General features: G+C 47.9%; 1 protein-coding gene across 14 annotated transcripts in view, besides 1 other annotated feature; it reads right to left on the bottom strand.

Annotated features, from left to right (window-relative positions):
• The window catches only part of MYO18B (myosin XVIIIB), a 321,660-nt gene that overhangs the window by 215,867 nt on the left and 77,977 nt on the right, over nucleotides 1-27,816 (bottom strand). For 10 of the 14 annotated variants that reach the window (XM_011530461.3, XM_011530458.3, XM_017029014.2 and 7 more), the window contains 8 exons: nucleotides 24,303-24,476; nucleotides 21,482-21,572; nucleotides 19,013-19,205; nucleotides 14,984-15,064; nucleotides 12,538-12,688; nucleotides 4,087-4,246; nucleotides 1,698-1,881; nucleotides 329-551 (listed from right to left, as the gene is read on the bottom strand). In XM_011530461.3, the coding sequence (XP_011528763.1) occupies nucleotides 329-551; nucleotides 1,698-1,881; nucleotides 4,087-4,246; nucleotides 12,538-12,688; nucleotides 14,984-15,064; nucleotides 19,013-19,205; nucleotides 21,482-21,572; nucleotides 24,303-24,476 (1,257 nt within the window). The remainder of the gene's footprint in view (nucleotides 1-328; nucleotides 552-1,697; nucleotides 1,882-4,086; nucleotides 4,247-12,537; nucleotides 12,689-14,983; nucleotides 15,065-19,012; nucleotides 19,206-21,481; nucleotides 21,573-24,302; nucleotides 24,477-27,816) is intronic. The other 4 variants (XM_011530464.3, XM_047441551.1, NM_032608.7 and 1 more) reach the window with 1 other exon arrangement.
• Nucleotides 1,237-1,737: an enhancer, noted in NCBI's record as "H3K4me1 hESC enhancer chr22:26242211-26242711 (GRCh37/hg19 assembly coordinates)". NCBI's record gives its function as "activates a minimal SCP1, AML or CMV promoter by ChIP-STARR-seq in primed H9 embryonic stem cells {active_cell/tissue: H9 hESC(primed)}" and the evidence as "EXISTENCE:reporter gene assay evidence [ECO:0000049][PMID:30033119]".

The raw sequence follows: 27,816 nt of genomic DNA, 5'->3' as shown, positions 1-27,816 counted from the left end.
CATTTTGTGTGTGTGTGTGTGTGTGTGTGTGTATGTGTGTGTGTTTTCAGAAGAAATAAAGAAAAAAAAAAACAGTGGGCTTCAGACTCAAAGAGAGCTGGGTCCTGATCCAGGCTCTGCCACGTCCAGGCAATGTGACCATGAGCAAGTACTTCCACCTCTCTGAGCATCAGTGGCCTCATCTCAGAAGACTGCTGGGAAGAGTAACCAGGATGCTGGGTGTGAAGCTCCTAGCACATGGCAGGGGCTCCCATCCCTTGGCTGCCACTGGTGGGTGGACATGTCCCAGGAGTCAGAGACAAGGTGCTGTGTCCTAGCTGTCTCTTACCTGTCCTATGCAGACGCAGAGCCTCCAGGATGTGGAACCCAGCAAGCTGGACCCTCAGTGCTGGGATATCCAGGGCCAGAGGTCCACCTGCCCCAGGCTTGTCTCTACCAGGCTGCGGTGGTGGTGGAGATTCCTGCCCACTCCTGCTTTCCACCACAGGGTTTGGTACCAGGCAGTGGATAAAGTGCAGCCGGGACCTTTTGATCATGCTGGTCAGCGCATCCTAGACCAAATAGAGGGAGGTCAGGGCCAGTTGTCTCACAGAGACACAGAAAGGGGACTGGACCCTCTCCAAATATTCATTAAGCCCAACCTGAGCATCTTTGGGGCCCCTATGTCCCACACCAAGGAGCTCCCACCTACAGCCTGATTTGTGCTCATGAGAAATAATGGTTCTTGTTGAAACAGATGGAGAAACTGAGGCATGGAGAGAGCAAGTGAGTGGCCCCAGGTCATACAGACCAGTGGCAGAACAGCTGGGACTAGAACTCAGGACTCGGACTAAGGGCATTTCCACTATAACGCACTAGGAGGTCCATTTTATTTTTCTTTCTTTCTTTATTTTTTTTTTTTTGAGACAGAGTCTCACTCCGTTGCCAGGCTGGAGTGCAGTGGCACGATCTCAGCTCGCTGCAACCTCCTCCTCCCAGGTTCAAGCAATTCTCCTGCCTCAGCCTCCCAAGTAGCGGGACTACAGACATGCATCACCACGCCCAGCCAATTTTTTGTATTTTTAGTAAAGACAGGGTTTCACCATGTTGGCCAGGCTGGTCTCGAACTCGTGACCTCGTGATCTGCCCGCCTTGGCCTCCCAAAGTGCTGGAATTACAGGCGTGAGCCTCTGCGCCCGGCCACTATAAGGTTTATTTAAAGGTGTCCTTCCCTTGTCTCAGCCCATTCTCATTTCTGCTCAGCCTGGCCATTGACCAATCTCATGTTCTCATTTATTCACGGATTCACATTCCAGGTCTAGGTACCACATTTACATCCAGCTGGGTCCTGCCGCCTTGCCCCAGGGGAACCTAGTGGTGAGCAAGGCAGACAGGGCTAGTCTGGCTCTCATATGTGTCACTGGAGTCAAGAGGGCATTCATAGCTTCTGGGAACTCCCCCAGGCCTCTCAACTCAACACCAAGCAGCACAGGCTTAGGCCTCAGATTTGGATCAGTCACTTCCTGGGGGTGTGACCAGGGCCAAGTTTCATTGCTGCTGGGAGCCCCCATTTCCTCCTCTGTGGAGCGTGGGGTGACACTCGCCCCTCTGGCCTTGCTGGGGAGGTTAGAGATGATGTAGGCACATGACTCAGCCCAGAGGAGATGAGGATGGAGGCAGTGAAGGCCAGGACACCATGAGACAGGGTGCCCACTCACCATCTGCAGCTTGATCTGGGAGCACGGGGCTTTCCTCCTCACCGCGGCAAGGCTGCTGGCAAAGGTCCTCCTCACCATGCGGCTCCTCTGCAGGGCCTGCTGGGAGGTGCCCTCCAGGCCTGCCACAGCCCGGCACACAGGAGGCAGCTTGGCCCGGGCCTGGAATAGACTCCGCAGCTCCTCTCTGGTGGGGAGGAGGGAAAAGAGAGAGGAGCTTTAGGAGGTTCTTGGGAAAGCCTTGGCCTGGGTGGTGGCAAAGGGAACAAGCCTTCTTGCTTCCTGCTCCTCGGCTTCCTAAAGCCTCCTCTACAGTCATGTGTCCCAGCTGCTCCCCTTCATTCACAGCCCCTCCTGCCAGGTGAGGCTTTGCTTCATGGCAAATGCCAGCTCCTTCCTGATGCCCGTCTTCTACCTTCAAATGCTCCCTCCCTGCCTAGGCTTAGAGCATCTGTCCTATGGATATTCTTGTCACTTACATACCTACAGCAATGCTACGACACCTGTACTCTCTTAGAGGTCAAAGTCCTCTCTGCTATTCCTAGACCAGGCCTAGCACACAGTAGGCACGTGCCATGTGTTTCATGCAAGAAGGAATGACTCAGGCTGGGCACACAGTTTCTGGAGCTGCAAGATAATGTCAAATAAATACCCAGCCTGATACCTGAGCAGACAGTGCCTTCTCTCAGCATCCCTGTCATGGACAGATTCTGAGGTTAGTGGCCAGGATGCTAGCTTTTCGTTTTTGTTGTTGTTGTTGTTGGTTTTTTTGAGATGGAGTCTTGCTCTGTCGCCAGGCTGGAGTGCAGCGGTGCAATCTCGGCTTACTGCAACCTCCGCCTCCCGGGTTCAAGCGATTCTCCTGCTTCAGCCTCCCGAGTAGCTGGGACTATAGGCACACGCCACCAGGCCCAGCTAATTTTTGTGTTTTTAGTAGAGACAGGGTTTCACCATGTTGGCCAGGATGGTCTCGATCTCTTGACCTCGTGATCTGCCCACCTTGGCCTCCCAAAGTGCCAGGATTACAGGCGTGAGCCACCGCGCCCGGCCAAGGGTGCCAGCTTTTCAAGTGTCTGTTCCAGTAAAGCAGAGTGGCCTACCCTCTTCCATGAGCCAACTACGAACCGGGCTCTCTAATAGGTCATCTGCTACTTTACGTCACCAAAGCCTTCTTAGATCAGACATGGGAGCTTTGGAACCTCATTCCCATTTCTCAGATTATGAAACTGAGGTCCAGGTCATGTAGCTTAAAAGAGGGAAAAACGGAATCTGAACATCTTCCTGTCCCCAAAGCTGGGCTACAGCCGCTGAGTCTTGTAGCATCGTCCTGCTCTTATTTATGGTACAGGAAGCAGAAACAACCGAGATGAGGGAGAGCGACTGCCCACGGTCACTCAGGTGACAAAGGGCAGGGCTGAGACTCAACCTGTGCCACCTGGGTCATCATTCAGTCCTCTGTGTGCTCGCAACTCCTGTTGCCCCAGCCCTGGCCTGAATCTCTCTCCAGGAGCTGGATGTTCACGAGCCCCACTCCTGGATGTGGGTTTCCAATCAGCTCTGACATAATGTTCTGGGAATTCTCCAAGCATCTCTTAGACTCAAGTTGGGTCCTGGCTGTGCCACTGTTCTGCTGTGTGAGCAAAGGCAAGCCACTTCACTGCTCGGGGCCTCAATTTTTCTCATGTGTAAAATGGGACTAAGGATCTTGTGTTGTGATAAGGATTCAGAAGATACTCATAAAGCGTTTATGCTGATCCAAGGCACATAGGGAGTAGTGAGTAAGTGGTTCTTTCTCATCCTGGTGCCCATCTGAGACACCAGCACCTCCCTGGTCGTCTCAGTTTCTCTTCTTGTCTCTAAGCTCTACCCCTGAGGAATTCCAGCATTGAACTTGGGAGTGTGCATGCACACACACACACACAGCATTTTCCAATAAGCCTCTGAACTAAAAGCAGAGAATGCTGCCGGCCTCACGCCAGCACTCTGGGCTGAGCAGCCAGGGAACATGGTGAGCTTTTTTTTAACGCTACAAAACGTATCATTTCAGTTTTATGAACCCCTAGTTCTTGAATGTCCATAAAAGTTGTTCCAGTCACATCATCTCTCAGATACTTAATGAAAGGCAAAGTGCCAAAATAAGAAGTCACAGCTTTTTAGCTTTTGTTCCACCTCCCCAGGAGGCCAGCTTTTCTCCTCAGCTGGATTCACTCTGGCCCCAGGGAGACACTGCACTGCTCCAATTCAAGTTATGGTTCTTTGCTCCATTATGGAGGGATGGGATTCCTGGGCTGGCCCTCCCACACTGTGTTGTAGTGACTGCCTAGTTTAGGTGGGAAGGAAAACACAGTGCCTCCAATGCTCCATCCCCGTCCCCAACCCTGACCCAACTCACCTTTTTGACTGGTGCAGGACCTGGGGTGCATCCAGGGCCGAGAGGTTGGGCTTGGCTCTGTGGAGCCAGCCCGTGAGGTCGTACCGCACAGGGTCCCATCCCAACTGGTGGAAAATCTCACACTGGAGGGGCTGCTCACAGGTCCGCAGGGCAGAGGACCCTGGAAACAGACATGGTGGCATGAGTGCTGGAGCCTGTTGAGGACACTCTGCAATCAGCTGGCATCCCTTAAACGCACAGTATCCATCTTAACGTGTTTCCAGATAGCTAACGCTCATGGTCGAAGGCACCCACATTTCTCCTGCTGTAGTGAATTTGTGTACATTATTTCCAAAGTGGATTTTATTCTTTCTTGCTTTCTTAAATCTAGGACACCTGTTTTTCCCAAACATCATCCGTACACTCGATCTCCTCGAGTTTTTCTATATATATAACCACGTATCACCTGGACTGTGATTTACTTGATGTTTTCTTTAAATCGACTTACATTTTCACAAGTACAGTACATTCATTTTAAAAGAAGCATCATATTGCCGATTTGATGTGCAAGATATGTTTATTTTCTGATATGCATGGAAATTATGATGAAATATTTTTAAAATATTTAGTTTTATGCCGCGTAAAATCATTTTGAATACCATCAACCAAATAAATACAGGGAATACTTTTGGGAGATACAGGCACATCGGTTCCAAGAGACAGGGTGGGAGAAAAAAATGGGCCTGATCTTGGGGGCTAGAGAAATCCTAGGTTCTTTACCATTTATTACTGTGTGAAAGGTGCCAAGCCCCGTAAGTCTCTGAGCATCAGTTTCCTCGTCTGTAAAATGTGGATTAAATAAAGCATACCTCCCAGAGTGGCTTATGGCTTAAAGGAGATAATGTATGTAAAATATTTTAGTATAGTGTCCGGGCACATAATGGTCACTCAGTCAGCAGTAATGGTTGTCACTGCCCTTGACTGCACTTAAACCTTTGCTGATGTTCCCGAATCACAAAGTGTTGTTTATGTTCACATCCCCAGTGCCCAGCATCATGCTTGGCACATGCAGAGTCCAGAAGTGCTTGCAAAATGAATGCATGGATTAATTAATTAATGGATTGCTGTTCATTTATAATATTACTCTAACTATTGTGATGCTCACAGGTTGCAGTCACAGGTTTGGGATAGCTGTCTCCATACTGAATGGCCCCAGATGAATTTTTTTTTTTTTTTTTTTTTTGAGACGGAGTTTCACTCTTGTCACCCAGGCTGGAGTGCAATGGAGCGATCTCGGCACACTGCAACCTCCACCTCCCAGGTTCAAGTGATTCTCCTGCCTCAGCCTCCTCAGTAGCTGGGATTACAGGCATGAGCCAACATGCCTGGCTAATTTTGTATTTTTAGTAGGGATGGGGTTTCACCATGTTGGCCAGGCTGGTCTCGAACTCCTGACCTCAAGTGATCTGCCTGCCTTGGCCTCTCAAAGTGCTGGGATTACAGGCGTGAGCCACCGCACCTGGCCCCCAGATGGATTCCTATTAAGAGTGGTCAGATTATCATGACTCTTGGATCTATTCGGAACGATCTTACTTTGCTTTCCCATCCTGCTATTGCCAACGTACTTGCATGCACTAGGGTCCTGAGTCTTCCCCTCAAATCCTAATTTGCTGCCTCTAAACTCCAGTAAGCTAGGAAACAAAGGACCTGCATTTCTTGGAACTCTCTGCAAAATACAGCAGTGTGAGAGTCTGCGGCTTTCGTGAGCCTTTGTAGGAGTAAAGGGCGTGGCATCTGCCACCTGTGTGGCTGCTTAGAGGTACTGTGTGCTCACTTCCCAGATTGCCCCTGTCCAGGATAACGGAAGTTACCAGCACAGAACCCTTCTAGCAAAGTGAAGTTTCCCTGTTTCAAGAGTGTCCTGTGACGCTTTCAGAGCTGTGCAGTCCCTGCCCTCAAGAAAGTCCCCTTCCAATGGGAGAGTAAAGCACCCACAGGGAGTAAGGTGACAAAGCACACACCAGGCTTTGGCGCAAATGTCCGTGCTGCATTTACAATGCTACAGGTATCTGTTTACCTGGCTGCCTCCTTCCACTGTCCTAGAAGCAACTGGAGAGCAGGGACTGGTTGACTCATTGTTAGGCTCAGCAGCCAGTACAGGGCTGAGCTCTGAATGAGGATCGTGACCGAGTAGGGGACAGGGAAGAAAGAAGAAAGGATGTTGATGTTTGCTAAGCCCCGGCTCCTAGCACTCTCTGCTGGACATGCTAGCATGAGTGATTTCACTCTGGCTGGTAATGTTAGCATCTCTGGGCTAGTTTCTAGAAGATGACACTGAAGTTCAGAGACATGAGGCAATTTGGCTAATGGGGCACAGCAGGATGAGGCCACAGGTCTGCTGGTCCAAAAGCCTGCCTCTGTCCAGGATGGTGTCCAGCACACGGAAATGCCACATTTCTCAGGCAATGTCCTGGAAAACAGTACCCAGCTTCCAGGCCTGCTTGTTCCCCTCATTCACTCCTTTATCCTGAAGTTGACTTTTATTCCACAATTTTGTCCATGAAAGCATTTCCCATGAAGTCTTTGGCTTTCAGGAGCCCCATGGATACTTCTGGAAGATGGAGCCTTATCCAGCATATCTCTCTCACAGCTTCAGACTCTGTCACCTCCCCCAGCAGCCTGAACCCCCCAGAGAGGGCCCCCTCAGCCTCTGCAGGTCACACTCGGAGGTTGATGAGGGCCTGTCACCTGACTGTCCACTGTGCCTGGGCTCCATGAGAGTTGATCCCAGTCCCTGCTGGCCCTTGTGGGAACACTCAGCAAATGTACCTGAGGTAAGGAAATGAGGTCATGAACAGCGAGCCCTGGGTTAGCCGGAATGCCCCAAGTGTTCTGGATGATTGAATGTTCTCATTAACTCAGAGCCAACCAGAAAGCAATAGAGGAAGAGAACTATTTTTTCTTTTTAACCAAAATGTCATAATTAATGTGTCTTCTCAGGGGGTTTAAGGCAAAGGATATGGACAGAGTCTCTCCCTTGGGTACTGAGGGCTTTATAGCACACTGCTAGGGATATCTGGGACTGACACCATAGACCTCATGGATAAAAGGGGAGGGGCCACAAATCTAGCCAAATCCCCTTCTGCCCACTCCAGCCTCACCCTACCATATGCCTTCTGCTTCCAACCCTACTTTCCGTCTCTTTTACCTACAAGGCAGGATCCAGAAAACATTCCCTTTGATAATACATTTCCTTGATTCTAGATCACTGAGTTTTCACATATTCATCAGTTTTGTAAAAAGTATTCACTGTGCACCTCATCCCGCCAGCTGTGCCAGGCGTCATCCCCACAGAGGTGACCAGCCTCGCCCCTGTCACCATGCAGCTGGCCTTCCCCAAGGGGAAATGACTGATGAGCAAGTGTGGGACATGCCCTGGTGACCAATGCAGTGGGGAAGAGAAAAACCAGGGAGGGAGCCAGGATCGCAGGCAGGGAGGGGTCACCGCTTTTTACAAAGAGGTCAGGGAAAGTCCATGAGCAGCACTGGGCTGGAATGTGGCGGAAGGGCCCTCCAGGCAGAAGGAGCTGCTGAAGCCAGGGCCCAGAGGTGGGAATGTGCATGCTATGTTTGAAGAGCAGCAAAGAGAGCTGTGTGATGGTGACAGGAGAGAGGAGAGGAACATGCACATATGGCCTTGTTATGATCAGGGCCCTGGGGAGACAGTGAACAGGAGCAACTGTCCTCGGGGAGCGCCCAGGGTTGTGGGGAGAATGGCAACAAGCAGGCAAGCAAGCAGAGAAACAACCACAACTTCACAGAGCTGGCAAGGGCCCTGAAGGAAGAAACAGGGAGTTGTGATGGGGTAGCGAGGCTGCCAGGGGGACAGCTTCAGACAGGGCAGGGAAGGTATCTAAAGGGTGACCTCTGAGCAGAGAGCTGAAGGAGGGGGAGGTGGAAATGCTCCGTGCAAACAGCACCTCCATCCTCGCCACAGCCCACGGGTTTCACCAGGACTGCCATCCTACAGAACCAGGAGGGGACTTTCCAGGAGTCGCCAACAGTGCAGTTGAGCGGTGAGCAGAAGCCAGCTCAGGGCTCTGGGGCCCAAAGCCTGGGCTTCCCCAGCTCTTTCTCTTGGCTTCTTTTGGATCTGAGTGAGATGCCTCCCCTGCTCCCCAAAATCTCCACTCTTGAGCCCGTATCATACATAGAGACAGGGGTCCCTTTGACAGCCCGGAAAGTCACAAGTCCGACTGGCCTTTGCAGTAAGGCAACCCAGGTTCAGCGCTAGCCCTGTGCTCGGCGCCTATAGGGCCCTGGGAAGCCACTGGACCTCAGCAAGGACTCAGTCACCTCCCTGTAGCTGGGGTGCAGTAAAGCCCACAGGCCTGGCTCCAACCAAGGGCTCCACAACTAGCAGTTTCTGCCACTCATTCATTCTCCTTCCCCAGCTAGCAAAGGGGCAGACACATCTCACACCCCAGCCTGTGTGGAGGGGATTCCATCATTGCCAGGATTAAGTAAATGCCAGGACTCCTGCAGGGTGAGCACGGCCAGGGCCGCAGCACAACTTCCTGGGCCCTAGGCACGTTTGCTTTCATGGGCACCTTCCTCCATGAAAATATATATACACACACACATATACACACATGCACACACATATATACAAACACACTCATACATATATACACACACATATACACACGTGCACACATATACAAACACACTCATACATATATACACACATGCACACACATATATACACACTCATACACATATACACAAACACTCATACATATATACACACACGCACACACGTATACACACTAATACATATATACATACATATACACACATGCACACACATGTATACACTCATACATACACACACAGGTGCACACACACATATACACACAGGCACATGCACTACATACATACCCTCACATATACAAACAACTAGACATACACACACATGCACACACACAGGCACACACAGATATACACATACACATATAGACACAGATATATATATATATATACACAAACATGTTCACACACATACACATATATTTACACACAGACATACACACATACACACACACATACAGTTATACAATGGAGATATGTTCTAAGAACTGCATCGTTAGGTGATTCGGTCCTTGTGGGAATACCATAGGGCATGCTAACCCCAACCTAGATGGTAGAGCCTACCACACACATAGGCTGTATGGTACAGCCCATGGCTCCAAACTACAAACCTGTACAGCATGTGACCACACTGAATACTGTAAGCCACCATAACACAATGGTAAGTACTCGTGTATCTAAACATAGAAAAGGTGCAGTAAAAATACGGTATTATCATCTTATGGAATCACCATTTGTATACACAGTCCGTTGCCTGAAACACTGCTATGTGGTGCATGACTGTGTGTGTGTAATCCTAGCACTTTGGGAGGCCGAGGCGGGTGGATCACTTGAGGTCAGTAGTTCCAGACCAGCCTGGCCAACAAGGTGACACCCCATCTCTATTAAAAATACAAAAAATTAGCCAGGCATGGTGGCAGGTGCCTGTAATCCCAGCTACTTGGGAAGCTGAGGCAGGAGAATTGCTTGAACCCGGGAGGCGGAGGTTGCAGTGAGCTGAGATCGCGCCACTGCACTCTAGCCTGGGCCACAAGAGTGAAACTCCATCTCTCTCTCTGTATGTATGTATATATATATTTATATTTACATATATTTATATATATATTTGTGTGTGTGTATAATTTAATATATAGGCATATATTAAAGAATTGCCCTTGGCCTAAAAGTTCTTTTTCTTTCCAGAAATTAAAACATTTTCTGGGAGAGAACAACACACACTGGGCACATCGTAGGGTGAGGAGGGAGAGCATCTTGAAGAAGAGCTACTGGATGCTGGGCTTAATACCTGAGTGATGGGACAATCTGTGCAGTAAATCACCATGGCACACATTTACCTATATAACAAACCTCCACATCCTGCACATGTACCCCTGACCTTAAAATTTAAAAAAATGAAAAACAACATTTTCATGGGCCCCCAGAACACCGGGCACTGTGCCTCCATGATGGGCAGAGAAGTCAGCTCTGCGCCAGTCACTGGCAGAGCCGAGCTCTCTGGGAATAATTTAGGAATTTGCACTGTGAGCTTGCTCCAGAGAGAGCTGCAGGAGGCATCAGATGCTGTTGCTGCTTCACTGGTTAGACAATCCTGTCCTGATATGGGCACAGGAATCTACCATGAATGTCTCGGACAGAGGTCTCTGCTGGTCACCATAAGCTGGAAGCTTCTGCCGGCGCTCACTCACTGGATGGTTGGCTCTTCTCCCAATTTCTTATAAACTGTTCCAGTTGGACAATCACCCGAAACATTCCATCAAGATGCATCTGTCTATGTCTCCAATGACTTCAACGAGGCCAAATCCAATGGTCATTCCCCAGCACACACCTCACTTGACCTTTCAGCCGCATTTGATAAGGTCAATCCCTCCTGTGGCTTCCAGGGAGTCATATTCTCCTGGCTTTCCCTCCTGCCTCCCTGGCCACACCTCAGTCTCCTGTGCTGGTTTTTTGCCTTGTCCCTGACACCTTGACATAGGAATGTCCCAGAACCTAGTCCTTGGACATCTTCTCTACCAAGCCTCATTCTCTCAGTGACCTCAACCAGAGTCACAGTCCTCAGTCTTCTCCTTTCGGATGCACCTGCCTTACTGTCTCTTCTCTGCTGGAAGATGCATCTCCTGGGCTAGGACAGTGGCTGCCACATATTAGGTGCTCCATCCATATTTTCTGAAGGGACCAAGGAATGAATGAATGCGAGCACATATCCTGGCCTCAAAGAGGGTTGGGACTGATAAGATCACTAAGTGCATTTGCCTTATTATTATTATTATTATTATTATTATTATTATTATTATTATTATTTTGAGATGGAATTTCACTCTTGTTGTCCAGGCTGGAGTGCCCTGGTGCGATCTTGGCTCATTGCAAACTCTACCTCCTGGGTTCAAGCAATTCTCCTGCCTCAGCCTCCCGAGTAGCTGGGACTACAGGCATGCGCCATCACACCCAGCTAATTTTTTGTATTTTTAGTAGAGATGGGGTTTCACCACGTTGGCCATGCTGGTCTCAAACTCCTGACCTCAAGTGATCCACCCACCTCGGCCTCCCAAAGTGCTGTGATTACAGGCGTGAGCCACTGCGCCCGGCCACTACATTTGCCTTCTTAAGTGCCTAGTGTTGTAGGGATCTGAGTCTCAGATCCAGACAAACCATGTTTTGAATCTGTCTTTTGACCCTTCTCTCCTCTGGGTGACCTTGCACAAGGACTTCTGGAACTCAGTTTTTGAATAAGAATATGTATCTCCAAGTGTGGGACAGAATCCTACCAGGAGCTATCCATAAAGCTGCGTATGCTGCTCTGAGTGCAGTACATGCAACACTCCCCAACCCCAGAATCATGTTCTCCATCACCATCAGCATCCTCATCCTCATCAATAAACCTGCAACACCTTGACCCCGGTGACAAAGCTCTGCATGCACATAATATTACCCAATCATCGTAGCAGAAATTCTAGAGAAAAAAGGGCCAGGGGTGACTTCTTTCCCAATTTTAAAAGCACATCAACTAAGACTACGAGAGGTTTGCCCCACATCATGCAGGGGAAAGCAGAAATAACTGGACTTCAACTTGGAGCCCATGGATACCAAATCTCATGATCACTTTGTTCTGGTTTCACGCCTTCATCTCCCCTCTTGCTCCCCCTTCCACCAATCCAACTCCCACCAAGTGCTATGGACTTTACCTGCTAAACACTTCCAGAGGTTTCTACCTCCTGGGGCAGGCCAGCTCCTCTCTCACCCTGACCACCTGCCTTCCTACCATATCTTCACACTACAACCTCAGGGAACTTTCCAGAACATGAAGCTCATCATGCCTCCCACTGCCTGGAATCCTTCATGGCTTCTCGTTGCTCTAGGGTTAAGACCTTTGCATGACCAGCAACAGCCTCTGCAGTCTGAGCCCAGAAGCCATCTCCAAACTTGTCCTGCATCGTGTTCCTGGCTCTCTGTTAGATGCATCTGCACGCATCTCCCACTGGCTACCAGAAAAATGAGAAACGCCCTGATGCGCCCCATTAGAGTGCAGTTGCAGGCTCACTGTGCACGCATGTGCTTGGCTGTGAGCTTGTGCCTTCCCCATGAGGACTGGCCCACGCCAGGCTGGTTAACTAACACATGGAACAGTACCCAGCACATAGTGGCTGCTCAATGCGTTCACTGAATACTTGAATGAATGAAAGCATACACAGGCTCATGCACATTCACCTCTGCACGTTGGAGCCTCTGTGCAGGCCTTGTCAGGGCTTTCCCTGCAGCAGAGAAGAACAGATTCTAATACCCAGGCTGGACTCAGGCCCCATCCCCAGCCCCCTGCTTCCTTACCTTCAGTCCCAGCTCCTTTCTTCTCGAAAGCAGCACACAGACGCTCGAGCACCACACTGTCACTGGAGCCCTCTACATGGACTTCCTCATCTAAGACCCAGAAAAGGCCTCTGGCATCCTGGGCACCTCCTCCAGCTGGTAAGCGGACCTGCTGGGAGAACCAGGATTCACTGAAGGGCCCTGATACCCATCAGAAGCCTGTCTTGGGCTTCTCTTCCCACCGATAGGGAATGAGAGCATCCAAGTCCCAAGTGTCAGGACTCAGAACGTGCCTACCCAAAACCATGCTCCCAATCACCCCAGACTCTCAGTGTTGAAGCTATAGCAACCTCTCATTTGCAAACTGTCTGAATCCTGCCTCTGTGCTCACCTCCTGTGTGGCCTTGGGCAACTTACTACACTTCTCTGAGCCTTGTTTCCTCCTGTGTAATGGAGACTGAAAATACCTTCCTTGGAGGGCCATGGTGGGGATTTAACAAGGGGAACCCTCTGGAAATTACACATTTCTAGATACATACAGGCAGCTGGTCTATTTGTGCACAAACGAGAAAGGATTAATTCTGTCTGTATCGTTTCCTCTAAGAAGTCCTTGTATTTTTTAAACTAAAATCTTGGGGAGGAGAAAAAAAGCACTCAAAGAACATTTCAGAGAAGAAGGTGAACACGAGTCAATAGCACTGACGTAGAATTTGAAATCTAGCCACAAGCTTCAGAGACCATCTACTCAACCCTGTAATTTTGCATATGGGAAACTGAGAGAGGCCTGGGGAGTTTAAAGGGCCTCTCTGAGGGCCCATAAGGAGTTGGCACAACCAAAAAAAGGCCACCAACTTGTTATAGAGGAAATGCAACATGCACAGTAACCAACTGTCCTACTTTGCCCGGGACATGAAACTTTCAGTGCTAAAGCTGGGAAAGTCCTATGCAAACCAGGACAGTTGGTCACCCTGAGGAATCCACACCCCTCAGAGGCCTGGAGAGGGGAAGGGGCACATCCAGGGTCTCCCGGATGGACAGTCAAAGATGCAGAGCTGGAACTGGATCCCAGGCATCCTTCACCTTGGCCTTCTTTATTGGGGCTGAAACTGATAGCCAGCCCACGCTCAGAAGGTCCTCAGAAAATAGTTGTTAAGGGTGGGTGTGGTGGTGCATGCCTGTAATCCCAGCTACTCAGGAGGCTGAGGCACGAGAATCGCTTGAATCCGGGAGGCAGAAGTTGCAATGAGCCAAGATCGTGCCACTGCACTCCAGCCTGGGTGACAGAGTGAGACTCTGTCTCAAAAAAAAAAGAAAAAAAAAAAGAAGAAGAAGGTAGCTATTTGCAGCCACAGGCCCTGGAGACTACCCCGCCCTTCCCAGCCAACACTGCTAAATCAGCCCTTCAGGCCCACCCTTTCCTAGGAGAGGCACAGGTGAGGAAGCACAGTGTGGAAGGAAATGAACTAGACAGATGCCAACCAGAAGAACACACTGACAACAGTCAGCTGGGCTTACACAGGAGAGGGCTTTGCAATGATGGGTACAGCCCACTGTGTGCCAAGAGAAAGCCTGCAAGCCATCTCTGGTCAGCAGGAGACAAGGAAGGAAGAAAAGGGGAGGGGCAGCCTGCAGTGTCAGATGGCAGGAGAGATGCCACCGGCAGGGCACCTCCTGTGTGCCAAGCATCACGCCAGGTGCCTTATGTGCAATATCTCATTGATATTCACAGCAACCCAGAAAAAGTAGCATCCCCATTCTGGAAATGAGGAAACTGAGGCTCAGAGAGGTGAAGTAACATGCCCAAGGTCACCAAGACTGGACCCAAGCATGGCAGGTTTCATGGCCCAAGCACTTTTGTAATAAAATGTGAAGAGGAAGACAAAAAAATCAAGTGAAATTGTCAAGGGCAGTTCTGAGTCGAGCAGAGGTGCAGATCTGGGGTAGCAAAGTGAGTTCTAGGGGTGGAGAGAGTGAGGTAAAGACTCAGTTTCCCTCAAACTAACGCCTGTCTGCCCCCAGATGAGTTCAGGGCCCTGAACCCAACATGGTCCCCTGTTCTCCAGTGCCCAAGGTCCCCAGTCTCTGCTGGGCACAGCACCTTCATTCAAACATCTGACCTTTCCAGGCCAGAGTGGCTGGTGGCCTCTGGCCATGAGCCCTGAACTCACTTTGGCTCAGGCCTCAGGCTCCCAGGCACGAGTCTATTCTAAGACATAGACTCAGACATAAAGGACAGCAGCAGTTCTCAACCTGATGATGCTTAAATTTCCACTGTTCAGGCCATACCCTCAGAACAATTTACACAGAATCTGGGGTTGGGTCCCAGGCATCCACGTTGCCAATGATCCCGGGGTGACTCTAGGTGCACACGGCATTGACAACTAGTAGACTGAAGACTCAAATCCACCAGCATTTCAATATGGCCAACTGGCATCTGAGAGCCTGGATTGGCTGGGCCCTGTGTTACCTGAGAGGGATTTTGATCCACAACAGCCACGGTGGTCCCTGGGGAGGGGTCCGGGAGGTCAAACTGCACAGGAACACCTTCCTGGAAAATAACAGGATTTAAAAGTTAGCACTTTTAGCGAGCTGAAGGGGGAAGAAAACTTCTGAAGAAGGAAAAAGCGGAGAGGATTTCCATCACCTCTTGGCCCTTTAAAAAAATCGTTTTTTTAAATTTTGGCAAAAGATACATAGCAGAAAATTTACCATTTTAGTCATTTTAAGTATACATTTCAGTGGTATAAGGTACATTCATGTTGTTGTGCACCCATCACCACCAACCATCTCCAGAACTTTCTTCATCTTTCAAAACGGAATCTCTGTACCCATGAGACTTAACTCCCTATTTCCTTCTCCCCCAGCATCCTACTTTCTGTGCCTCTGATCTCAACTTTTCTAAGTAGCTTATGTAAGTGAAACCATACAGTATTTGTCCTTTTGTGTCTGACTTATGTAACTTAGCATAATGTCCTCAGGGTTCATCCAGCATGTACCATTTTATCAGAATGTCCTTCCTTTTGAAGGCTGAATAATACTTCCTAGTAAGTGCGTATCTCGTAATATGCGTATCTCATTTTGCTTGTCCATCGCCTGTCAATTGCAATCTATATATGAGTTGCTTCTGCCTTTCAGCTATTGTGAATAATGTTGCAATCTGGTGCACAAATACCCGTTTGAGTCCCTAATTTCAATTCTTTTCAGTACATACCCAGACATGGAATTGCTGAATCACATGGGAATTCTATTTTTTTAGGTTTTGAGGTCCACCATTCTGTTTTCCACAGCGGCTGCACTATTTTACATTCCCACCAATACTGCACAAGGGTTCAAGTTTCTCCACATCACCCCAACACTTGTTATTTTCTGATTTTTTTTAATAGTAGCCATTGTAGTGTGTGGGAGGTGGTGTCTCAATGTGGTTTGGATTTGCATTTCTCTTACGATTTGTGATGGTGAGCTTCTTTTTGTGTGCTTTTGTAAATCTCTGGAGAAATGTCTGTTTAATTAATTTTTCCAGTTGCTAATGGGGTTGTTTGTTTATTCATCACCTTTTAGCCTTTGTGTAGGAAGAAAGATTGTAAATCCACACTCCAATGACATTCTGCTCATCATGCAGCGTGTCAGCCGTCATGCTGAGAGCTTTATCAGAAACTGATAACTCGGTCCAAACTTTTAAAATATTTACTGAGAACCTAATGAGTGCTAGGCTGAGTGTTCGGTGCTGGAAGTAACAAATGTAAACTATGGGGAATAATAGTTGCCACAATCATGTCACCAGAAGCCGGATGCTGTGGCTCATGCCTGTAATCCAAGCACTTTGGGAGGCCGAGGCAGGCGGATCACCTGAGGTCAGGAATTAGAGACTAGGCTGGCTAACATGGTGAAACCCCATCGCTACTAAAAATACAAAAATTAGCCAGGCGTGGTGGCAGGTGCCTGTAATCCCAGCTACTTGGGAGGCTGAGGCAAGAGAATCGCTTGAACCCGGGAGGCAGAGGTTGCAGTGAGCTGAGATCACTCCATTGCACTCCAGCCTGGGCGACAAGAGCGAACCTCCATCTAAAAAACAAAAAATTTTAAAAAATCACTAGAAATGTCCAGGAAATGCTGTGGACAAGGATGTTCACTGCAGTATTGTTTATAAAGCCTTGAACTTAGAAACTACCCTGATGTCTATAGGAGAGGGAATACAATCAGATCTAACCACTGCAAGCAGGTTTACTAAGATTTGTAAGTGGAGGGAGGTTATGTGAATAATGTAATACTGTGAGGAAAATGACAGACAACAAACTCATATATACAGGAAGATCCAAAATCCACGGACAACATAATAAAGGGAAAATGGTAACAACAACAAACAACAAACAAAAAAGAAACAGAATAGTAACAATGGTTGCCTCTGGATAGAAGCGCCAAAGGAGATTGTATCTTTAGTTTCTTTATACTCATATGAACTTTCCAGCGTTTTAATTAAAAATGTATTACATTGATAATCAGAAATAAGTGAAATATTATGGGAAAAATAAAATAGCTGTTACACTCTTTATTCTTGTTCATTAAATGTTCAAAACGGCCCCTTTGGGGAGTCTGGTAACAATGATCTAAAACAACCCTGGTTCTCTGCACTTCCCTGTATCTATACTCTCTGCAGAGTGACACTGCAGTGCCTCCATCAAGAAGTGGAGCCTGTTTTCCTACCCCTTGAATCCATGCTCAGCCTTAGACCTGTTGTGACTCACCGAACACAGTGGAAGTGATTCTGTGCAGGCCTCAAGTCCAGGCCTCAAGGTCCCCTGCACGCTTCTGTTTGCTCTCTTGGAACCCTGCCCAGCACTACAAGGACAGCCCAAGCTAGCCTGCTGGAGGATGGGACATTTGTGGAACAGGGACAAGGTTACCCCAGACAAGGCCTGCCTAGATCCGTTCATGGCCAGCTGATCCCACGCATGAGCGAGCCCTGCCAAGATCATCAGAGCCATCTACCCCAACCTACACCTGAATCTGAACACAAGCTCAAGAACCATCCTGGACCAAGAGAGCTGCCCAGGCCATCCAGACACTTGTGAGCAACAACCGAAGATTTTTTTCTAAGCCACTACACTTGGGGGTAGTTTATTACGCAGCATTATTATGGCAAATCATAACTGATACAAAAGTATTATTATCTCTGTTTTCCACGTAAAAAAAAAAATTGAGGGTCAGAGAGGGTGAGTGCCTTTCCTAAGGCCACACAGCCAATAAGCGACAGAGTTAGGATCAGACCTCAGGTTTCATCAGCATCATCTGTTTGAGATTCATTTATGTTGGTGCTTTATTTTTATTACCAACCAAAAAAATGACTGGAACTTCAATACCTATTATTCTATATTATTCAACTGGTGAACAATATGGCCATTTCTAATATTCTGCCAGTGGTACTTATTGGAATAAAAGTGGTCACACCTTCAGGGAAGAAGGTGGGAGTCATATGGGGAACTGAAAATACTCTCATTTTCACGTGGGTGATAGAGACACACGTATGTTCATTTGGGTAAATTCACTGAGCTATATGCTTCTGGTTTATGCACTTTTCTTTGTAAATTTTATTTATTTTATTTTATTTTATATTATTATTATTATTTTTTGAGATGGAGTCTCTCTTTGTCACCCAGGCTGGAGTGCAGTGGCGCAATCTCAGCTCACCACGACCTCCACCTCCCGGGTTCAAGCGATTCTCCTGCCTCAGCCTCTCGAGTAGCTGGGATTATGGGCGTGCGCCACTGAGTCTGGCTAATTTTTGTATTTTTAGTAGAGATGGGGTTTGCCACGTTGGTCAGGCTGGTCTTGAACTCCTGACCTCAGGTGATCCGCCCGCCTCGGGCTCCCAAAGTGCTGGGATTAAGGCATGAGCCACCGTGCCTGGCCTTATATTTCAACTTAACCTCTTTTTTTTTTTTTTTATGAAAAAAGAAGGGCTGGCAGGATCATGCCTGTACATGCTTCCTGGTTCACACACAGAGTTTCTCTCAGGTGCCTCCTAGAAGAGGAATTGCTGGGTTTTGTGATGCATGTACCTTCAACTTTGTGAGACTCACCGTGCTGTGCTGCAGAGGGGTGTGGAGCCCACTGCTGCCACCCACCCACAGGACTCAAAGGGCATTCCCCCCCTGGGCAGATGCAGACTGACTCTTGGAGGAGCCTTCTGCTTAAGTGAAGTGGGAGAGAATGAAGCAGTCATCCCAAAGAAAGGACAGCCGTGGAAGCAAGGACTGGGGAAGCCCGAGTTCCTTGGTGCTTCTGGGCTGCGGGGTTCAGAAGGTGGCAGGGGGAGGCTGGGCTGTGGAGGGAGCAACAGAGGTCTGGGGAGCCAGGCCTGGGGAAAGGGCTTTGTTCTCTGGTGAACCAAACAGGGTGAAGCTGCAGGCTCCTGGGGAATGGGAATCCCACCCCTTCCCATCTGACCTTACACCATCCACGGAGCTCTGGTGAAAGCCCTGCTCCAGCCCAGGCATACCTCTTGATATCGCTGTAGCGTGGAGACAAAGGTCCGCTGGTAGAACAGCAGCTGCAGGCGCTCATGGGCGTAGTTGTGGCACAGCTCCTCAAAGGTGGCCGCCCGGTCCTTGCCCTGGTGCCGGGGGTTCTGGAAGCCTGGAGAGTCCACCACCATGATGGAGGCCATGGAGAGATGGTGGGAGGAAAAGGATCTAGGGAGAGAAGAGAGAGGTGGAATGTCTGAGATGGCATGGAATCTAGGAGCACACTGATCCAAGCCTCCAGCAGAACTGGTTTCAAAACCAAGCTCACCTCTTACAGGCTGTGTGACCTCAGGCAAGCTACTTAACCTCTCTGAGCAGGGGTTTCCCCAACTGTTAAATGAGGATGGGGGTGAGTAGGCTTATCCCAGGGATAGCTATAAGGACTAAAGGAATTAAACTGCCTCCCACTGGCCCAAAGTAAAAAAAAAAAAAAATGACTAGCTTAAGGTCACCCAGAAGTTGGCTACCATATGAAGCCTAGGCCCTCCTTTTCTTTCTTCAGAGGCCTATTAAAATCAAAAAACTATTTTATTTAATACATCAGTTTACAAAATTCTTTCAAGCTATCACCTCCTTGTATTCTCCTGATGAATCTGTAGGGGTGGACACAACAGGGATTATTCACATCAAAATTTAGGACTTAAGAGATTTTGGAGCCAGTCACATGTGGGCTTCAATCCTTGCTCTGTGACAGAGGGGATGTGTGTCTTGGGAGAGTTGCCCAACCTCTCTGAGCCTCCACCGTCTTAGCCACCGTCTCAGTTAATGATGGTGACTAGCTCAGAGGGCTGTTGTGAGGGTTGGGTGTGATAAGCTTCCATGGCTGTGAAAGCAAAGTTTGCCATGTGGTTAGTGCTCAGTAAATGCCACCTGCTCTCATCACCACGAGTATGATCAGCTAGGAGCTTTGGAGGCCCTTAGTTGAACCTTGGTTCTTCTGTTGTTTGCCAAGGTTTTCCAACTATAAAATGGGGATAATAAGAGCAGCCACCACACAGACATGCATGAAGATGAAGTCGGTTTATTCTTGGCAAGACAGACACCTACTAGGTGCTTATAAATGCTGTAGTAGGTACTTTGATCATCCATGCGGCATTTCACAGATGTGGCCTCTGAGAACCCAAACCTTGAAGCAGCTGCCCTTCACTGGTGAAGGCAGTTTCCTCCGCCAGCAGTTCATTTCCCATTCCCAGTACTCCCTCTCTAAGCACGCATGATCCCCTTGGTTTCTAGATAATATGTCTGTGGGCTCAGATGGTAATTACTTCAGCAGCGTCAGAGGGAGTTGATTCTGTGTCCACGACAACTTGGAGAAACCCGGCTGCTCTGTTGCTACGCGCCAGCCTCATCCCTTTAACAGGATTTCAGAAGCCTAATTATGCTTTCTGCTTTCACAGAGGAGGAAGGCAAGCCTTTGCCTAGGCTCTGAATTAGCTCTGCTGAAAAAACTGCTAAAAGGGTTTCCAAGCATGGGCTCAGTGCATTGTGCGTAACGATGGAAAACAGAGGCTCCTGGTGCCTGCAGCCCCGCAGACACACATCAGAGGCACACCCCAGCCCACTCCAAATTTCTACCATGTTGCTCCCATCCCCAGCAAGACAATTTTGAAAAATAAATGGATGAGAGCAATGTATTGGGCTATTCAGGGGAACTGAAGGTATGACATGAGAAGGTGGCATTGTGTTTGCATCTCGGTTCTACCCCTTCAAGCTTTAGTCTCCTCCTCTGTACAATGGGCCCATGTGAGTATTCAATGATGCAAAGCAGGTTACACAATTAGTGCAATCCCTGGCCCTCAGTAGCCACTCAAAAGTACTTAGATTTTATTATTGGCATTTTTACAATCACTGTTAGGAAGAATTTGTTTCATTTTGTTTTGTTTTGAGAGAGTCTCGCTCTGTCACCCAGGCTAGAGTGTGGTGGCGCGATCTCGGCTCACTGAAACCTCTGCTTCCCAGGTTCAAGCAATTCTCCCTGCCTCAGCCTCCCGAGTAGCTGGGATTACAGGCGCCCACCACCACGCCCAGCTAATTTTTGTAATTTTTAGTAGAGACAGGTTTTCGTCATGTTGGCCAGGCTGGTCTTGAATTCCTGATCTCAGGTGATCCTCCTACTTCAGCCTCCCAAAGTACTGGGATTACAGGCATGAGCCACCACGCTTGGCCAGGAAGAGTTATTTAAATTCATTATTTCTTTTAATCCTCACAACAGTCCTTGGGAAGAGAGCTATTGTACAGACGAGGAAAGGGAGATCAGAGAAGTGAACTGATTTGCCGACCTCACAGCCAGTGGGTGGCCAAGGTAGAAGTTAAACCCAGCACTGTCCACCTTAGAAACCCTCTCGCCAGCTCAAAAACTGCCACTTTGTTCAACTGCCCGGTATGTGAATTCATCTGTGCACCTGCAAGAGGCCAACTGTGTGCCTAGGAAAAGGCCCCGTTACCTGTTGATGAGTGAGACCACAGCCGCAAAGAGTTCCTGGTACAGGCCCGAGGCCATCCCCTCCACACAGTCCACTCCTGTCATCTTGAGCCCTGGGAAAGAGGACAGAATCAGCATTCTTGGTTAGGGATCTTGCCTGGGGCCAAGGACATCACTGCAGAGCAGTAGGGACCACTCAATTTAGAAAATCCTTCTTTTCTTGCCACATCCCTCCACTGCTAAAATTATTTCCCCAGGTTCTTAGGACAAAGTCTAAGTGTCCTTTCAGGGCCTACAGCGTCCTATGTAACCTGCCCTACCTTCACCCCAGAGTGATCTGCTCATCACTCAGGGTTCAGCCCAAATGACACCTCCTCAGGAAAGCCTTCCTTGACTACCACCATCACCACCACTAGGCCAATTCCCAGCTCTGTGTTGCTTCTAATAGCACTTCCCATAGCATCATCTTTCTAGTATAGTTATTTTATTAACCTGTGTCTCCTTCATGAGGCTGGGCGTGCCCTGAAGATAGGCGCTGTCCCTGGGTTTGCTGACCTTTAAATTGCCAGTGTCTGGCACATAGCAGACACTCAGTAAATGTTTATGATTCCCTTTTTCTGGAGAGAAATTTGACAATTTTGTATTAGAAGCCATAAAATGTTCGTATACTGGGACCTAATAATTTCACTCCTAGGCTTTTATTCTAATGAAATATTGAGAGAAATAAAGCTTTCTGGGGACACAGGTTCTTCCAATTGTTGATTAAATTGGCAAAAATCACTTTTTGAAATGACTTGAGTGACCAACAATAGAAAATGGGTTAGGTAATTTGTAGTCTACCCATACAAAGGAATGCTTAAAGTCAGGTATGAAGAATACTGAATGAGATTGGAAAAGTGCCTACCTAGAACGTTAGGAGGAATATAAAGGCTCAAAAACTATAATTACAGTTGTGGACTTGATTTTGCTCGAATACACACACACACGCATGTATATGCATCCCATTAAAATCACCAGCCTTGATTAGGGTGCATTGAACAAAGCAGAGTGAGGAGTGTAGGGGATCAGATCACAAATTCCGTCCCTTAAGTTTCAGTTCTATCTAAAAAATTGAAAACACAGTTTCCAAATCAGTGCGCACTAGTGCCTGGAGGAGTAATTCTGCTTGTACATTCCAGGCAGCCCACTGCAGCCCCGAAAGCATTTCCCACCCCTCCTCTGAATCCACCCCCAACCTGGGCTGTTGCTAGGCAACCCACAGCCTCCCAGCATCTCTCCTAAGCCCGAAGGTCCCCTGCCTGCTTAATGTCTACTCTTGAGACCTCAGCCTGAGAGGTTAACTCAGACTCACAAAGTGGTGACTGCATCTGTCTGTGCCTGTGTGTGATGCACCCATCCTTAAGTATGTGTGTGGTGTTTGTGCCTGTGCATATGTGTGCACGTGTGTGCTTGTGTCTATGCGTGTGTGTGTAGTTGTATGGTATGTGCATGTGTTATATATATATCTGTGCACATGTTTACACATACATGTGCCACGCATATCTGTGTGTGTGCTGTGTATGCTTGCAGTATATGTGTGCCAGTGTCTGTGCATGTGTGTGATTCCGTGGTATCTGTGCACATGTGTGCATACACAAGTTGTGCTGTGCATATGTGTGGTGTGTTCATGTGTGATGCACACATGGTGTGCACACCATGTGTGCATAAGCATGTGTGTGTATGCTTCTGGGAATGTGTGTGCATGTCGAAGAGGAGAGGTAATCTTCAAGAAAACCACAGTTCACACCAGAGCACAGACCTGAAAGGAGACATAGAGGGCCAATGGGGTCCAAGTGACATCAGTCCTCACGCCGAAGTCCCTGGAAGGTGGAAGCAGCTCCAAAGGTGCAAAGGAGCTCCAAGAGATGGGCCCCAAAATCACAGCTCACAACACTCCTACTCATTAACCCCAAACTCTGCTGTCTCAAGGACAGCTGCTCTTAGAGAGCTCCCAAAGATGCACAGAGGCTGCAGACTTGGGACCCAGCAGATCACATCCTTGCAAGTACAGTACAAAGTCCTCCTGTTTTTCCCCCACGGCAGTTCAAAGCATCCTCATTCTTCCAGCTGCTGGGGCCAAAATCCTAGCAGCCACTGCTGGTCTCTGTCTTTCTCTTAGGGCCCATGCTATCACCTCAGCTTGTAAACTAGCCCCTGAATCTGTCCACCTCGCCCCGTCTCCACTAGCACTTCCGACCACCACCTATCACCTGGTGATTTTTATAGGTTCCCAGTGGGTCTCCTGTCTCCCACTCACTCCCCAACCTTCATCCAGGCTGAGCTTCTTAAAGCCAAATCATGCCATCCCCCTGCCTAAGCCACTCCACGGCTTCCCAAGGGCCTGAGAATGAAAACCCTCGTTTATAAACCCTTAGTGAGCGGACCACACCTTGCTCTCCACCCTCATCTTCTCCCATCCCTCCACCTCGCAGCAGCCACTCGGGATTTCCATCCCTCAAACAGAAAGACTAGTCTTTCCCCTACTTAGTAGGTGCTCAACAAACACGAAATCCGATGGAAATGCATTGGTCCATCGGCCCTGCCCACGGCATCCCCTCCCCACAGCGCGGGGCTCCCTGCCAGGTTTCAGCAGCCTTCATGGCCACTGAATGGAGATAGTTATTTGAGCATTAGCATTGACCGGTCCCTTTCCACCCACGATGGCTTCCCCTGCATCTAACACACGCCTTCATAGCATAGGCCCTTAACAAATCTTTGATAAAAAAGTTAAAGAATGCTGGTGTATCCCCAGGAGCTGGCCCAGAGGGGGGCCCAGCTCACCCAAAGAGGCAGCAGCCATGTACCTGAGCTGGTTTCCTCATCCTCGAGGCCCCATCGGCTTGGCCCAAACGTCATTTGCTGGATGATCTGTCGAAGGTGGTGCTTGAAGGTGGCCGTGTTCAGCTCCTCATACTCGCAGCCCAGGGCCTCAGCTGCGTAGTTTGCCCACTCAAACCTCATGAACTGCTTCCGACCCACTGCAAAGGGGACAAAACAGAGGCGTGGCAGTGAGGCCTTGGGCATGGGGTGAATGAACACCCGAGAGGACCTCGGAGAATCTCAGCACCCTCCCAATCTCCAGGCCAGCCTCCTCAGCCGGGAGCTTGGACAACTGCCCAGGCCTGGGCCCCTAGGCAATGGCCCTGGAGGAGTCGGATTTCCCAAGAGACTTGCTTATCCGACTTCCTCGCCATTTGCATTGCTTACTTTTTCAAAGCGATTAAAAATATCATGGGGAAGCACTCTAACTGTGAAATTGGGGGATGGTTGGTAAAATTATGATTGATTCACCCACCCACATATCCATTTACCTACCCATCCAGGCATGCACTATCCCCTGCAAGCCACCTACCTATCCTTTCAACTCCTCATCCAATTAAGGAAGGAGACCACTACTACTCCTGCTGCCCTCCTCCCCCAACCTTGCCTAGTTCACAAGACAGTAGGAAAGAGAAAGCAAAAAGTTGGAAACAAACAGAAGTAAGATAAATAGCCAGACAACCTTGGCACCACCACCCGGCCCTAGGAGTTAAAAAAGTAATAATAATAACATCAACCCCTGACCTAAACTACTTGTGTTATCTGTAAATTCCACACATTGTATGGGAAAGCATTGCAAAACTTTCTATTCTGTTAGCTGATGCATGTAGTCCCCCCAGTCACGTTTCCCAGCTTGCTCGATTTATCACGACCTCTTCATGCGGACCCCTTAAAGTTGTAAGCCTTTAAAAAGGCCAAGAATTTCTTTTTCAGGGAGTTCGGCTCTTAAGACGCAAGTCTGCCGGCACTCCCGGCCAAATAAACCTCTTCCTTCTTTAATCCGGTGTCTGAGGAGTTTTGTCTGTGACTCGTCCTGCTACACAATCACACATCCAACCATCCAACTAGCCATCTGCTTACTGTGTACATGTTGACTGAGCTCCCCTCATGTGACAGGCACTGTGTCTGCCACCAAAATCAATGAGCAAGACAGACAAGGTGCCTGTCCTCATGGAGCTTATAGTCCATTGAGGGAGTGTGACAACAGACAAGTAAACAAATAGATAAGATCATTTCCAGCCATAAAATTATAAAGTTCCCTCTGCCCTCTGCCAAACAGAAACTAAAGCAGGGTGCTGAGATCAAGAGAGACCAAAGGAGTTGTTTGGTGTCTATGGTGGTCAAAGTGGGTTCTATCTGAAGACGTGATGTATTAACTGAGCTATGAAAGGTGAGAAGGAGGTACTACATAAAGAACCAGCGAAGTGCTTCAGAGGTTGAAGGAGGCAGTGCAAAGGCCCTGGGGTAGAAATGAGCATGGTGTGTTAAAGGAATGCCAAGCAAACCAGTGTGGCTGGAATGTAACGGGGTGGGGAGAGGAACCAGACGGGATTAAAGAATCAATGGAGAGCCACTCTTTGGACCATTATAAAGCCATTTAAAATTAGCAGTGAAGACTGTGCATACCATGGACAATGCTTACACCTGAATGCTAAGTGAAAAGCAGATTAGAAAATGATATCATAGTGATATCAACTGTGCAAATCATTCTAAACTGCTGTAAAAAGTAATAAAAGGGAAATATGGCTAAATATTAACCATCACAGCTAGGTAAAGGGATTTTTTATTTTCCAAATTTTCTACCATGGTTGAGCACTACTTTTTTAATCCATAGAAAAATAAATGACTTCTTTTTTTTGTTTGTTTTGTTTTGTTCTGTTTTGTTTTTGAGATGGAGTCTCACTCTCGCCCAGGCTGGAGTGCAGTGGCACAATCTCAGCTCACTGCAAGCTCCGCCTCCTGGGTTCACACCATTCTCCTGCCTCAGCCTCCCGTGTAGCTGGAACTACAGGCACCCACCACCACGCCCAGCTAATTTTTTGTATTTTTAGTAGAGACAGGGTCTCACTGTGTTAGCCAGGATGGTCTCCATCTCCCGACCTCATGATCTGCCCACCTCAGCCTCCCAAAGTGCTGGGATTACAGGCGTGAGCCCCCACTCCCGGCCAATAAATGACTTCTTAAAACAAATAATAGTGTCGTCCTTAAAACATTTTCACTAACAAATACATGAAAAAATGTTCAACATCTCTAATCATCAGGGAAATGCAAATCAAAACCACAATGAAGTATCGTCTCACTCCAGTAGGATGGGGTGACAAAAAGCAAAAGTGCTGGCAAGGATGCAAAAAAAAAAAAAGGAACTCTTAGACATTGTTGGTGGGAATGTAAACTAGTGCAGCAACTATGGAGAGCAGTAGGAACTTTCCTCAAAAAACTATAGATAGAACTACTGTATGATCCAGCAATCCCACTACTGGGCATTTATCCCAAGGAAATCAGTGCATCAAAGAGACATCTGTACCCCATGTTTACTGTAGCATGATTCACCGTAGCCAGGAGAGGGAATCAACCTAGGTGTCCAAAACAGACAAATGGGTAAAGAAAATGTGGTATATATACACAATGGAATACTATTCAGACATAAAAAAGCATGAAGTCTTGTCATTCATGGCAACATGGGTGGAACTGGAGGACGTTAAGTGAAATAGCCAGGCACAGAAAGACAAATATCACATGTTCTTATTCATATGTGGAAGCTAAAAAAAAAGATTTCATAAAAGTAGAAAGCAGAATAGAGCATACTAGAGGCTGGGAAGGGTTTGTGGGGAGGTAAGTGGGCGGATAGGGAGAGAGTTGTTAAAGGACACAAAATCACAGCTAGATAGGAGAAATACGTTCTAGTGTTCTATAGCATTGTAGGATGACTGTAGTTAACTGTAATATATTATATAGTTTCAAATAGCTAGAAGGAGGATATTGAATGTTCCTAACACAAATAAATGATAATTGTTCAAGATGATGGATACACTAATTACCCTGATAACTGTACATGTTTAGAAACACCACTATGTACCCCATAAATATGTACACTTATTATATGTCAACTTAAAAAATAAAACTAAAAAAAGTTCTCTCTTTCATCTCTTATTTTCCTATAAATGTGTTTCCTTCTTTGAAATAAGAATCACAGCCACCAACAGGGATTTTTCAATCAATCAGAAAGAGATTGTGAGGGCCCAATTCTTCAAGTAGACAGCTTGAAGAACCAATCTGGCTTATGGCAAAACTAGAAATTTGGAAAAGGACTTTATCTAGGACTTTGACCCTACCCAAGGAAGAGGTCTGGCCCCAATCACTAAGGGCATTACAAATAGATATTGCTTACTGACATCCTCCTAATGTGCCAATTACTCTGCACTGGTCACAAGAGCATCACTGTATTAACCTCATTTTACAGACTATGCTCGTTTTATAGATGATGAAACTGAGACTCAG

Source organism: Homo sapiens, chromosome 22, assembly GCF_000001405.40.
Source record: "Homo sapiens chromosome 22, GRCh38.p14 Primary Assembly".
Lineage (NCBI taxonomy): Eukaryota > Metazoa > Chordata > Mammalia > Primates > Hominidae > Homo > Homo sapiens.
The sequence above is the reverse complement of the archived record's forward strand: the minus strand, read 5'-3'. Positions and strand labels throughout refer to the sequence as shown.